We start from the raw sequence: 15155 nt of genomic DNA, 5'->3' as shown, positions 1-15155 counted from the left end.
TTATTGCATCTATTTGATTCTTCTCTTTTTTCTTCTTTGTTAGTCTTGCTAGCGGTCTATCAATTTTGTTGATTGTTTCAAAAAACCAGCTCCTGGATTCATTGATTTTTTTGAAGGGTTTTTTGTGTCGCTATTTCCTTCAGTTCTGCTCTGATCTTAGTTATTTCTTGCCTTCTGCTATATTTTGAATTTGTTTCCTCTTGCTTCTCTAGTTCTTTTAATTCTGATGTTGGGGTGTCAATGTTAGATCTTTTCTGCTTTCTCTTGTGGGCATTTAGTGCTATATATTTTCCTCTATACACTGCTTTAAATGTGTCCCAGAGATTCTGGTACATTGTGTCTTTGTTCTCATTGGTTTCAAAGAACATCTTTATTTCTGCCTTCATTTCGTTATGTACCCAGTAGTCATTCAGGAGCAGGTTGTTCAGTTTCCATGTATTTGTGTGGTTTTGAGTGAGTTTCTTAATCCTGAGTTCTAATTTGATTACACTGTGGTCTGAGACACAGTTTGTTGTCATTTGGGTTCTTTTACCTTTGCTGAGGAGTGCTTTACTTCCAACTGTGTGGTCAATTTTGGAATAAGTGTGATGTGATGCTGAGAAGAATGTATATTCTATTGATTTGGGGTGGAGAGGTCTGCAGATGTCTATTAGGTCTGCTTGGTGCAGAGCTGAGTTCAAGTCCCGGATATCCTTGTTAACCTTCTATCTCGTTGATCCGTCTAATATTGACAGTGGGTTGTTAAAGTCTCCCATTATTATTCTATGGGAGTCTAAGTCTCTTTGTAGGGTCTCTAAGGACTTCCTTTATGAATCTGGGTGCTCCTGTATTAGGTGCATATATATTTAGGATAGTTAGCTCTTCTTGTTGAATTGATCCCTTTACCATTATGTAACGTCCTTCTTTGTCTCTTTCGATCTTTGTTGGTTTAAAGTCTGTTTTATCAGAGACTAGGATTGCAATCCCTGCTTTTTTTTTTTTTTTTTTTTTTGCTTTTCATTTGCTTGGTTGAGCTTCCTCCACCCCTTTATTTTGGGCCTGTGTGTGTGTCTGCATGTGAGATGGGTCTCCTGAATACAGCACACTGATGGGTCTTTATCCCATTTGCCAGTCTGTATCTTTTAACTGGGGACATTTAGCCCATTTACAGTTAAGGTTAATATTGTTATGTGTGAATTTGATCCTGTCATTATGATGTTAGCTGGTTATTTTGCCCATTAATTGCTGCAGTTTCTTCCCAGCATCAATGGTCTTTACAATTTGGCATGTTTTTGCAGTGGCTGGTACCAGTTGTTCCTTTCCATGTTTAGTGCTTCCTTCAGGAGCTCTTGTAAGGCAGGCCCGGGGGTGACAGAATCTCTCAGCACTTGCTTGTCTGTAAAAGATTTTTTTCTCCTTCACTTATGAAGCTTGGTTTGGCTGGATATGAGATTCTGGGTTGAAAATTCTTTTCTTTAAGAATGTTGAATATTGGCCCCCACTCTCTTCTGGCTTGTGGAGTTTCTGCCGAGAGATCCGCCATTAGTCTGATGGGCTTCCCTTTGTGGGTAACCTGACCTTTCTCTCTGGCTGCCCTTAACATTTTTTCCTTCATTTCAACCTTGGTGAATCTGACAATTATGTGTCTTGGAGTTGCTCTTCTCGAGGAGTATCTTTGTGGTGTTCTCTGTATTTCCTGAATTTGAATGTTGGCCTGCCTTGCTAGGTTGGGGAAGTTCTCCTGGATAATATCCTAAAGAGTGTTTTCCAGCTTGGTTCCAGTTCTCCCCGTCACTTTCAGGTACACCAGTCAGACGTAGATTTGGTCTTTTCACATAGTCCCATATTTCTTGGAGGCTTTGTTTGTTTCTTTTTACTCTTTTTTCTCTTAACTTCTCTTTTCGCTTCATTTCATGAATTTGATCTTCATTCACTGATAACCTTTCTTCCCCTTGATCAAATCAGCTACCGAAGCTTGTGCATGTGTCACGTAGTTCTCGTGTCATGGTTTTCAGCTCCATCAGGTCATTTAAGGTCTTCTCTACACTGTTTATTCTAGTTAGCCATTCATCTAATCTTTTTTCAAGGTTTTTAGCTTCCTTGCAATGGGTTTGAACATGCTCCTTTAGCTCAGAGAAGTTTGTTATTACCAACCTTCTGAAGCCTACTTCTGCCAGCTCATCAAAGTCATTCTCTGTCCAGCTTTGTTCCATTGCTGGTGAGGAGCTGCGATCCTTTGGAGGAGACGAGGTGCTCTGGGTTTTAGAATTTTCAGCTTTTCTGCTGTAGTTTCTCCCCATCTTTGTGGTTTTATCTACCTTTGTTCTTTGATGATGGTGACGTACAGATGGGGTTTTGGTGTGGATGTCATTTTTGTTGATGCTGCTGCTATTCCTTTCTGTTTGTTTGTTTTCCTTCTAACAGTCAGGTCCCTCAGCTGCAGGTCTGTTGGAGTTTGCTGGAGGTCCACTCCAGACCCTGTTTGCCTGGGTATTACCAGCGGAGTCTGCAGAGCAGCAAATGTTGAAGAAAAGCAATTATTGCTGTCTGATCATTCCTCTGGAAGCTTCGTCTCAGAGGGGCACCCGGCTGTGTGAGGTGTCTTTTGGCCCCTACTGGGAGGTGTCTCCCAGTTAGGCTGCATAGGGGTCAGGGACCCACTTGAGGAGGCAATCTGTCCATTCTCAGAGTTGAAACCCCGTGCTGGGAGAACCACTGCTCTTTTCAGAGCTGTCAGACAGGGATGTTTAAGCCTGCAGAAGGTTCTGCTGCCTTTTGTTCAGCTATGCCCTGCCCCCAGAGGTGGAGTCTACAGAGGCGTGCGGGCCTCATTGAGCTGCAGTGGGCTCCACCCAGTTTGAGCTTCCCAGCCACTTTATTTACCTACTCAAGCCTCAGCAATGGCAGATGCCCCTTCCCCAGCCAGGCTGCCGCCTAGCAGTTTGATCTCATACTGCTGCACTAGCAATGAGCAAGGCTCTGTGGGTGTGGGACCCGCTGAGCCAGGCGCGGGATATAATCTGGTGTGACATTTGCTCAGACCATTGGAAAAGCACAGTATTTAAGTGGCAGTGTCTCGATTTTCCCATTACAGTCTGTCACGGCTTCCCTTGGCTAGGAAAGGGAAATCCCCAGACCCCTTGCGCCTCCTGGGTGAGGCAATGCCCCACCCTGCTTCGGCTTGCCCTCCATGGGCTGCACCCACTGTCCAACCAGTCCCAGTGAGATGAACCAGGTACCTCAGTTGGAGATGCAGAAATCACCTGTCTTCTGCATCGATCAAGCTGGGAGCTGCAGACCAGAGCTGTTCCTATTTGACCATCTTGGAAAAGACCTCACAATTCAACTTTTTAAAGAAAAAACCTTGTCACATAGTGCCAGGCCAACCTTGATCCTTTTCAATGTCCATAGCTTATATTACAGAAATCTCTTCACTCTGATCCTGATTTTACTCTCTGATGAATTATGTATTACTTCCCGTGATGTTTATATTTATATGTTAGTATGCAGATATTTTGCTTGAATATCTAGGAACCTGAGAACTAGGTTTACTTGTATATTCTCTCTGGAGCCATTGATAAATAAGAAGGTATCAGTTTGATTCCTTTGAGTACAGGTGAGGGAAATCCTAACCCAAAAAGGCTTAAGCCAAAAGCAGGATTTAGTAAATCATAAAACTGAGGAGTCTAGGAGTCATATTGCCAAGCAAGTCATCAAAATCCAGTTTTATCTGCTCTATAGCCTTCATTTTGGAGCCATTATCACACATCTCCTTTGATTCCAAATGTGATTTATATAATCTTGTGTTCAAATTCAAGAAGAATAAGTCCTTTTTTCCAAAAGTCCCAGCTAGTCTGTGCATTAGCTAGTGACTAATGATGTTGATCCAACTTCCTGAATCTATGTATGTAGCCAAGCAGGGTATGATTGGCTAAACTTGTCATATTCCCAACCTAGAATCAGATGGAAGTTGACTTCATCTTAACTATAGGAAGAGCTAGATTCACAGATAAAAATCAAGAGCTATTATTGGAAGCAGGATGAATGAATCCAAGGTGGCTCAAAAAAAAACCCAAGTGTCCACTACAAGGAGCATTGCTATCATTTCTTCGTAGACAGGTTAATTTGATGGAAAATTCTACACATAACTTAGTAATCAATGGAAAATATTCATATAAAAAGGAATTCTGCATAATAAAAGAGAGAAAGATGGGAAAATCCATAGGATTTCTTACCATTTCCCTGCTTGCTGTCATTCCTAAGTTCAGTGTTCGGGCCTATACAAAACTTCATCCTTATCAGTGCCATCCTGAAGCTTGTGTGTACTTGTGATTGATTTGACAGCCTTTTGTTCTCTGAGGATTTCTTTAAATCATGTCTTAGATTCCTGGGAATAGAGAGTTTTCCCTCTTAACCTTATTTTAGCAAACTTGCTAATGATTAGTTCAGACTAGCTTCAATCACCTTTGTTCCAGAAAAATATGTTTACCGCTTACATAGACTGAGAAGCAAATTTTTAGACAACTTCTGGGAATGTCAGAATTAGTTTACTAAAAGGGATAAATGGAAGGCATTTTAAATACAATTGAATTTACTTTTTGTGGAGTTTAATTACAAGGGAACTCTTCATAGAACTTGGCATATCTAATACCCTAAATTAGTCATTTTAAAGCTATAATCTTAGAAGACTATAAAGAGGTTTTCAGTTAAACACAGTATGTTGAACACATGAGCTTATCTTATTCCCTCCTGAAACCTTTTTGAACATGATATAAAAAAGAATTTTAAAAAGCAAAAAGGCATAAACCCGTAAGTACAGAAAAAAAATGGGAGAATAAACAATAGTGACAAGAATATCAACGAAACTTATTTTTTTGAACAGGACATACATGTAGTTCACAAAACAAAATATTAAAATATGGAGTAAAAAGGCTGATTCTCATTTCTCTCCCCGTCTTCCCTCATTATCCTTTGTCCTTGTGTCCCCATTTAGAGTCTTCTAGATTTTCTTTAGGCATACACAAATTTTTTTCCACACAAAAGGTGCATGCTATAGACTTCTGGACCTTGTTTTTTTGTTTGTTTGTTTGTTTAAAAAATGTATTTTGGATTGCTTGAGCCCAAGAGTTCAAGACTGTGGTGTGCTATGATCCTACCTGTGAGTTGCCAGTGCACTGCAGCATTGGACAATGAAGCAAGACCCCATGTCTTTTTTTTTTTTTTTTTGAGATAGAGTCTCACTCTGTCGCCCAAGCTGGAGTGTGGTGGCATGATCTTGGCTCACTGCAGCCTCCGCCTCCTGGGTTGAAGAAATTCTCCTATCTCAGCCTTCCTAGTAGCTGGAACTACAGTCACACGTCACCACACCCGGCTAATTTTTGTATTTTTAGTAGAGACAGGGCTTCACCATATTGGTCAGGCTGGTCTCGAACTCCTGACCTCAGGTGATCCACCCACCTCAGCTTCCCAATGTGCTGGGATCACAGGCGTGAGCCACCATGCCCGGCCAACCTCATCTCTTAAAAAAAAAAAAAAAAAAAAAGGTATCTTGGAGATCACTGTTCATGATTTTCTATTTATATCTTTTTCTATTTTTTTCTATATTTATGTCACACATATATTTTCTTAAAACCAATTAGTTTACCAATTTTTTTCTAATTGAGAGGAATTATGAAGACTTATGTTTTACAGCTATTTAATGATCCTCAGTTGTACAGTAATTCTTAAATGCTATTAATCTCTATCTTCTCTTCTTACAATATGAAGTAAACATTCATTGCTCAGAGAACATGGAAATTGAAATAAGCTTATAACAGGACTGAAATCATGATTTTTGTGCATGCATAGCAGCACAGTAATGGGTCATTGTCTGAGGTATAGTATAATATTGTTTAATCATTCCTTTTTCTCATTTTCTCTATCTCCCATTGGTCTCAGTAGTTCTTATGAGATATTTAAGAAATAGATTTTACTGTTTTTAGTAAGGCAAATTTGGGCGTATAGCCAGAACATATCCAACTTCTCTCTTCCCTCTCCCTGTCTCCCTCTTCCTCTTTTCCCCATCCCCCTCCTCTCCCTTCTCCTTCCCTCATTATTTTTTCATTTTTCTTCCATCCTTTTCTTTTTTTTCTTAACAGTCACTCCAGTACTCCAAATGATTCAGTAGACATACCTGTTTGATCAGTTTTTAATCATTTGAGAATTATGATAGCGATCCTGTGGAGTGAAGGATTGTGTAAGTTTGCTTTATAACAAAACAACATTTTAAGCAGATGTAGTGTTTCCAAGTTGAGAACTCAAAATTAGGGTTTCCCAGCTACATCACTATTGACATTTTTGACTGGATAATTTTTTGTTATGATGGCTGGCCTGTGCATTGTAAGATGTATAACTGTATCCCTTGCCTCTCCTCACTGATGCAAATAAAACCCTTAGTTGTTAGAACCAAAAATATCTCCAAACATTGCCAAGTGTCCCTCGAAGTACAAAATTGTCTATGGTTGAGAACCACTAATCTAAATGAACTCTTTTGTGTGCAAATTCAAACAGCAGCACATGTACCACTTCCTAATTACTATGCCACAATGATTTACATAAGAACTACACAGCCATCAAAATTGAATGAGTGGGTAGAAAAATATTAGAAATTTTTAAATATGTTCTTCCTTGCATATACTCATATTTGTTAAAACTGAACATTTGAAAAGATGACAAAGAAACTTTAAAAATGTTTATGCGATTACTTATCTGATGTAAAAAAGGAACTTTTAGACTTTGTGGATAATAAAGAAATCCTGCCTTCAAGTCTAAAGTTTTGGCTGTCATTTTATTTTCAGTGATGATAAGGGAAGCACATCTTTATTTTGGCAAAGTAGAATCTAGGCTTCTTAAAATGCGAACTTTGGGGATATGCAGTCAATAAACATAATTATAATGCAATGTCTTTTAAAATATACTGAAAATGAAGATAGACTTCTCAACAAGTACTATTGGGATAACTAGATTTGCATATAGAAAAAAATTAATTGGATCCATTTCTCACACAAGGATAAATTTCAATTGGATCACATTTAAGTGAAAGAAATGAAACCAGGACATGGTAGCACATGCCTATAGTCCTAGCTACATGGGAGGCTGAAGCAGGAGAATCGCTTGAGCCCAGGAGTTTGAGGCTGTAGTGCCCTATAACCACACCTATGAATAGCCACTGCACTTCAGCTGGGGCAACATAGCAAGACCTCATCTCCAAAAAAAAAAAAAAAAAAAAGGGGGAAGGAAAAGAAATGAAATTATACAAGTATTAGGGATTTTTTTAAAGGAGAGTTTGAATTCTTCTAGAACTTAGGAATAGAGAAAATTATTCTATGACTTGATCCACGAGAAATAAGGAAAAATATTGATAAATATATTGTCTAGGAAAAAAAATATATGGCAAAGAAAAATTAAGTTGAACTGAAAGAAACATTTTCAACTTACAGATGAAGGATTCTTAATATGTAAAATCGTTCTAAAAATAAAAATATGTTCAACCACCTTATAGGAAAATGGGCTAAAGATATAAGCAAGTAGTTCCCAGAAAAGGAAATGGCTCTTAACCATGTGAAAAGTCTTTTTTTTTGTTTTTTGGAGAGAGTTTTGCTCTGTCACCCAGACTGTTGTGCAGTGGCATGATCTCAGTTCACTGCAGCCTCCACCTCCTGGGTTCAAGCAATTCTTCTGCCTCAGCCTCCCAAATAGCTGGGACTACAGGTGCACACCACCACACCCAGCTAATTTTATGTTTTTTTAGTAGAGTTGGGATTTCACCATGTTGGCCAGGCTGGTCTCAGACTCCTGACCTCAAGTGATCTGCCTGCCTTGGCCTCCCAAAGTGCTGGGATTACAGGCGTGAGCAATGCACCCAAACAGATGTCATTTCTTAACTATCAGATTAGCAATAGCAAAAGTTCAAAATTTGACAACATGCTTTTTTTGGCCAGGCTGTAGTTAATAGATGTTCTTGTACAGCTGATGGAATGCAATGAAAACGAGTATGTGGCAGTATCTATCAAAATTGCATATGTATTTATCCTTTGACCCAGAAAACCTACTTCCAGGTACTATCCCAAAAAAAATCAGCAAAAAATAAAAGAGGCATGCACAAGGCTTTTGATTGCAGCATCACGTAGGAAACTACTCAAATATTCATCAGTAAGAGATGGCTTGATAAACTACAGCTTTTATTTATATAATGGAGTAGTATGCAGTTGTAAAATAGGGAAGATCTGTATGTATTACTCTGGTTCTTTGAAAAGATCCACAAAGTTGAGAACATTTTAACTAGACCAAACGAGAAAAAGATTCAAATTACTAAAATGAAAAATAAAGGAGGAGACATTACTACCAGCAAACTTACAGAAATAAAAAGGATTGTAAGGGAATACTATGCACAATTCTATGCTACAAAGTATATAACCTAGATTAAATGGACAAATTTCTAGAAGCAAACTACCAAAACTGTTTTAGTAATCACTTTCCAAGACAGACACAAACTAGGAAAACTGATCTGGTAACGAGGAAGAAATAGAAAATCTGAGTAGACCTGTAACAAGTAAAGCAGGAGTTCCAGGCTATAGTACATGTCGGTTCCAGTGACTAGCCACTGCACTTCAGCCTGGGCCACATAGTAAGATCCTGTGTCTTAAAAAAAAAATAGAGAAAAATTAGCACCACTTCTCTACAAACTCTCTAAAAAATGGAAGAGGAAGGAAGATTTCCCAGCTCATTCTATGAAGCCAGTATTACCCCGATACCAAAAACCAATGAAAGCATCATAAGGAAAAGAAAACTATACAAATATTACTGAATAGAGACCACAGAAATGTCAATGAAATGCCAACAAACTTGAATCCAGCACCATATATAAATGGTTATATACCATGACTAAGTGGGATTTATCCAGGAATACAAGATTGGGTCAACATTTTTTTTTTAATCAAGGTAATCCACCACATGTGTAGAATGAAGGAAAAAAAAACACATCATGTGATTTTCAGATACAGAAAAGACATTTGACAAAATCTCAACATACTTTCATAATAAAAGCACTCGGGAAATTAGAAACAGAAGACAACTTTCTCAACCTGGTAAAGGGCATCTACAAAAAGCCTGTGGCTAAACTTATTCTTTAATAGTGAAAGACTGAAACCTGCTCCTTGAGATCAGGAACAAGACAAGGATATCCACTCTCACCACTTCTGTTCAGCATTGTACTGTACGTTTCAGCCAGAGCAATTAAGCAAGAAAAGAAATAAAAGGCATCTAGATTAGTATGGAAGAGATAAAACTATCTCCGTTTGCAAATGACATGACATTATAAGTAGAAAAGTCCTTTTGTTCTTCAAAGGACAGTGAAGAAAATGAAGACAACCCTCAGAATGGGAGAAAATATTAGCAAACCACATATCTGATAAAGGTCTAGGATCCAGGATATATAAAGTACTCTTACAACTCAACAGTTTTTAAAAAAGGAAGACCCCAGTTTTTTTAAATGGGTAAAGGATTTGAGTAGACATTTGTCGAAATAGGATATACAAATGGCCAATAAATCCAGGAAAAGATGTTCAGCATCTTTAGTTATTAGATGTGACCTTGAACGCTACCACTTTAAAGGTACCACTTTATACCCACTAGGATAACTCTTATCAAAAAGATGGAAATTAACAAGTATTAGCTAGGATGAAGAAAAATCACAACCCTTACATGTTTCTTGTGAGATCAGAAAATAGTACAGCTGCTTTGGAAAGAGTTTGGCAGTTCTTCCAAAAGTTAAAGTTAGTGTATGAGCCAGTAATATTGCTTATGTGTATACCCAAGAGATCTGAAAATGTATGTCCACAAAAACTTGTTAAAAGAATGTTCATAGAAGCATTATTCATGATAGCCCAAAAATGGAAGCAACACAAACATCCATCAACTGATGAGCGGCTAAACAAAAGTGGCGTATCCATATAATGAAATACTATTCAACAATGAAAAGCAATGAAGTACTGATTTATGATGCAACATGGATGAGACTTGAAAACATTACACCAACTGAAAAGCCAGACACAAAAGGCCCCATATTGTATGATTATATGAAATGTTCAAAATAGACAAATCTGAAAGTAGATTAGTGGGTGCTGGCAGGTGGGAAGAAGAGGGATAGAGAGTGACTGCTAATGGGTATGGTGTTTCTTTCTGGGGTGATGAACGTGTTATGAAATTAGATAATGGTGATAGCTGCATAACTCTTTGAATATACTAAAAGCCACAATTGTTTTTTAAAAAAAAAAAACAAAAACAAAAACTAATGAAGTTGTGTCAAAAGCAACTTGGAGAGATTCACAGACCTAAAATAGACAATTTGAACCTTGGCAAGGATAATAACTACAGTGGATTGATATGCATCAAATATGCTTAAATCTGTGAGTTAGCAATGACATCAAAATATATAAAACCTAATGACTTGTTATTTTGAAAACTGTTAATAAAGGGAAGAATTAACCATTTATCCTACCTTTTCTAGATTAACTGTGCCTCAGTTCATGCAGAAACTATTTGGTTATACCCCAGTGCAGCTAAATATTTAATGTAAGGAAATTTCTCTTTCTAGAAGTATAAGCCTATAAACAAATGAAGAGTGATGGAATTTAAAAGGCCCTTTTGCCACCATGATAAACTAATGGATTTAAACAATGATCATCAGTAACTGCTATCATCACTAAAAAGAGAAGAAGTTGTGTGTACCTATGTACATATGGAGTAGTAGTCTCGCCAAAACAGAGCTTGCATCTGATGAAGCCCCTATAACTAACTACCAAATTATAGGAAACGGGACAAAGAACATGTTAAACAACACCATAGGGATGCAGTGAATGAAAATCGGACTCTGAGTAACTCTATAGGACACATACACAAAAAATTACAGGTATACCTCAAAGATATTGTGGGTTTGGTTCCATACCACTGCAATAAAGTGAATATCATAATTAAGCAAGTTGCACAAATTGGCTTCTCAGTGCATATAAAAGTTATGTTTACACGACACTGTAAACAAGTATGTGATAGCATAATGTCTTTAAAAATCGTGTACATATCTTAATTTTAAAATGCTGTACTGCTAAATGTCGCTAACCAATTATCTGAGGCTTCTGTGAGTTCACAGCATCTTTTTGCTGTTGAAGGGTCTTGCGTCCATGTTGATGGCTGCTGACCAGGATGGTAGTTGCCGAAGTTTGGGGTGGGTGTGGCAATTTCTTAAAATAAGACAACAGTGAAGTTAGCCACATCGATTGATTCTTCCTCTCACGAAAGATTTCTCTGTAACATGCAATGCAGTTTGAGAGCGTTTTACCCACTGTAGAACTTACTTGAAAATTTGAATCAATCCTGTCAAACCCTGCCACTGCCTTATCAACTAAGTTTATGGCATATTCTGAATTCTTTGTTGCCATTTCAACAATATTCACATCTTCACCAAGAGTCCATCTCAAACCACTTTCTTTGTTCATCCATAAGAAGCAACTCCTCATCCACTGAAGTTTTCTCATGAAATTGCAGCAATTCAGTCACATCTTCACACTCTGCTTATTTTAGTTCTCTTGCTATTTCCAATACATCTGCAGTTACTTCCTCATTGAAGTCTTGAGCCCCTCAAAGTCATTTATGAGGGTTGGAATCCATTTCTTCCAAACTTCTGGAATGTTGATATTTTCACCCCCCATGAATCACTGAATCACAAATGTTCTTAATGGCATCTAGAATGATGAGTTCCTTCCGGAATACTTTCAGTTTACTTTGCCCAGATTCATCCACTATCTATAGCAGCTATAGCATTATAAAATTTGTTTCTTAAATATAAGGCTTGAAAGTTAAAATTACTCCTTGATCCGTGGGCTGCAGAGTGGATATTGTGTTAGCAGGCATGAAAACAACATTCATCTCCTAGTACATCTCCATCAGAGCTCTTGAGTGACCAGGTACATTGTCAGCGGGCAGTAACCATTTGAAAGGAATCGTTTTTTTTTCTGAGCAGTAGGTCTCAACAGTGGGCTTAAAATATTCTGTAAGCCATGCTGTAAAAAAGATGTGCTGCTATCCAGGCTTTGTTGTTCTATTTATAGAGCACAGGCACAGTAGATTTAGCATAATTCTTAAGGGCCCTAGGCTATTTGGGATGGTCAGTGAGCATTGGCTTCAACTTCCAAGTTACCAGCTGCATTAGCTCTTCACAAGAGAGTCAGCCTGTCCTTTGAAGCTTTGAAGCCAGGAATTGACTTCTCCTCTCTAGCTGTGAAAGTCCAAAGGCTTTTTTGTCTACATTGAGAATATGTTGTTTAGTGTAGCAACCTTCATGGATTATTTTGGCTAGATCTTCTTAACTTGATGCAGCTTCTACATTAGCACTTACCTCGCACTTTTATGTTAATGGAGACAGCTTCTTTCCTTAAACCTCATGCACCAACCTGCTAGCTTCAAACTTTTCTTCGGTAGCTTCTTTGCCCCTCTCAGTCTTTTAGAATTGAAAAGAGTTAAGGCTTGCTCTGGATTAGGCTTTGGCATAAATGAAGGGAAAGTTGTAGCTGTTTTGGTCTTCTATCCAGACCACTAAAACTTTCTCCTTATCAACAATAAGGCTTTTTCATTTTCTTATTTGTGTGTTCACTGGAGTAGTACTTTTAATCTCCTTCAAGAACTTTTCCCTTGCATTCACAAATTGGCTACCTGGTGCAAGAGGTCCAGCTTTTGGCATGCTTGGCTTTTGACATGCCTCTCTCACTAAGCTCAATCATTTCTGGTTTTTTATTTGAAGTGAGAGATAAGCGACTCTTCTTTTCACTTGATCACCTAGAGGCCAGTATGGAATTATTCAGTGCCCTAATCTCAATATTGTTGTGTCTCAGGGATAATACGGAAGCCCTCGGAGCAGGAGAAAGGTTGGGGAATAGCCAGTCAGTGGAACAGTCAGACCACATACATTTATCGATTAAGCTCATCTTATACAGGTGCAGTTAACCATAGTGGATGTAATAATAATGAGAAAATTTGAAATATTGTGAGGATTACAAAATGTGACACAGAGACACAGAGTGAGCACATGCTGTTGGAAAAATGCACTAATAGACTTGCTCCATGCAAGGTTGCCACAGACCTTCAGTTTTTTAAAAAGTGGAGAAAAAGGCAATATCTGCAGAGTGCAATTTTTTAAAAAATGAATGCAGTAAAACAGGGTATGCCTTTACAAGGCAAATAGAGAAAGGAGCCTATAGTAGAGACATGTCTTCCAATTGCAGTGCATGGATTGTATTTAGAGCTGAATTTAAACAAGTGTAAAAAAATTTTTAATATTATAAAATAATTTAAAATAATATTTTATAGTCCAACTGGGAAAATAGGACCACTGAACTACATATTTGCTGAAATTAAAGAATTATTAATTTCTTTGGCATGATAATACTGAATAGGTTATGTTTTTCTTATATTTTAGAAGTAGATACTAAACTACAGACAAAATAATGCAATATCTAGGATTTGCTTTTAAATATGGGGGAGGGGAGTGACTACTAAAAGAATAGCATGTTCTGAATGGTAATACTAATTGTAATACTAATACTAATTGTAATTGTAATACTAATCACAAATCTGCACATGTGCTAAAATTTATATAACTGACACCAAAAGGGAGAAAAGGGTCAATTTTATAGTATCTTAATATTTTTAAATAAAATTTTAAAATTTATATTATGGAAAGGATGAAGAGAGCAATAGATGAAACAAGATAGGGCATGACTTGCTAATATTTGGAGCTGGGTGATGGCACAGAGGTATTCATTATGCCATTCTGTGTACTAAAAATTCTTACATATAATTATTTAGAATATAATGTAAAAGCTTAGAATATTTGAAATCATAGATGGCAAATTTAGGAAAATAACCATGAAATGAAGGTATCCTAGTATTGCAGACTTGTTTAGTGTGGTAGTCACTGGAATGTAACTGGACAAAGCTATAAGCAAATGGAAGTGTTATGATTAAACACATTTTATCTCATATAAATTTATATGTGAAGTTATTCTCATAAAGCTTTGTTTGCATTTTTGTTTGTTTGTTTTTTTAGGATGAGAGAAGCTGCAAGAAAAATAGAAGAAAGGCATTTTTCCAACCATGCAACACATGTTGAATTTCTGCCTGTTGAGTGGCGGTCAAAACTTACTCTTGATGGAGGTATATTTATTTAAAAATTGAATGATTTAGCCAATGGCAAACTTTTACCAAAATAAATGCAGAAAGTTTTAGAAAACACTTTTTGTTAATTGAGAATGTAGTGTCTTCAATTTAATTGTCTTGAGATATGCTCACCCTTTGTTCTAGATTAAGAAAATAAAATCCATTGATTTCTAGAATAATTATACTGACTAATATCATTTGGACCATTACATAGATTTCATAGATAGCACTGTTTTCATGCATGCCCTCTGGATTGTGGCAGGTGGAGGGATATAGTGGGAACAAAATGTTTTCTAAAGTTTTTGACACGAAGTTGATTTGTCAGTACTTTAAAAATATTTGTTTTCCATAATTCCATACGAGCTTACATTTTTCTTTCTAATAATTTTCTCCCCATAATCGGAAGATAAAAATCTCAGGTTTTTTGTTTTCCTTTGTTGTTTTTCGTACATTCCCTGGGCTGGTGAATTACAATCTAGCATAGATAATTTGTATATTTGTTTAAATAAAATCAGTTTAGTTGTCTTCCTTAAAGAGCTGTCATCAACCAAAATATGTGTCTTTCTTTACACAAAGTTATGTCTGTTAAATATTAAAACCATAAAAACAGAATGTTTAGATTATTTACATAATCTGCAAAATGAGAGAGTTGTTATACTGGATATAATATTAGCAGCTGCCATTTGGGATTGTGTTTTGACACCTGTTCTAAATATGTGGCCTCATTTTGCTCTGAGTATCCCTGAATTTCATGCAAAAGCCAGTACATACAAAAAAGGGTGACGCTTTATAGATTTGATAATGGCTTTCATCCTTTAATGTTTCTTTTCATCTCCTATGTTGTCTTTTACTGTTTTTTTTTTCTTGAAGTATTTTATAGGAAGGGAAGATCCATTAGAGCCAAAGCTGGTCTTGAATATTTAAATGTT

At 37.1% G+C, this 15155-nt stretch overlaps 1 protein-coding gene across 10 annotated transcripts in view; it reads left to right on the top strand.

The window, feature by feature from the left end:
• Nucleotides 1-15155, top strand: part of DDHD1 (DDHD domain containing 1) — a 116569-nt gene that overhangs the window by 65360 nt on the left and 36054 nt on the right. For all 10 annotated transcript variants that reach the window (XM_017021669.2, XM_005268105.3, NM_030637.3 and 7 more), the window contains one exon: nt 14117-14223. In XM_017021669.2, coding sequence (XP_016877158.1) covers nt 14117-14223 — 107 coding nt within the window. The remainder of the gene's footprint in view (nt 1-14116; nt 14224-15155) is intronic.

The sequence above is a fragment of the Homo sapiens genome, chromosome 14, assembly GCF_000001405.40.
Source record: "Homo sapiens chromosome 14, GRCh38.p14 Primary Assembly".
Classification (NCBI taxonomy): Eukaryota; Metazoa; Chordata; class Mammalia; order Primates; family Hominidae; genus Homo; species Homo sapiens.
Note: the sequence above shows the minus strand (reverse complement) of the source record. Positions and strands in the feature narration are given on the sequence as shown.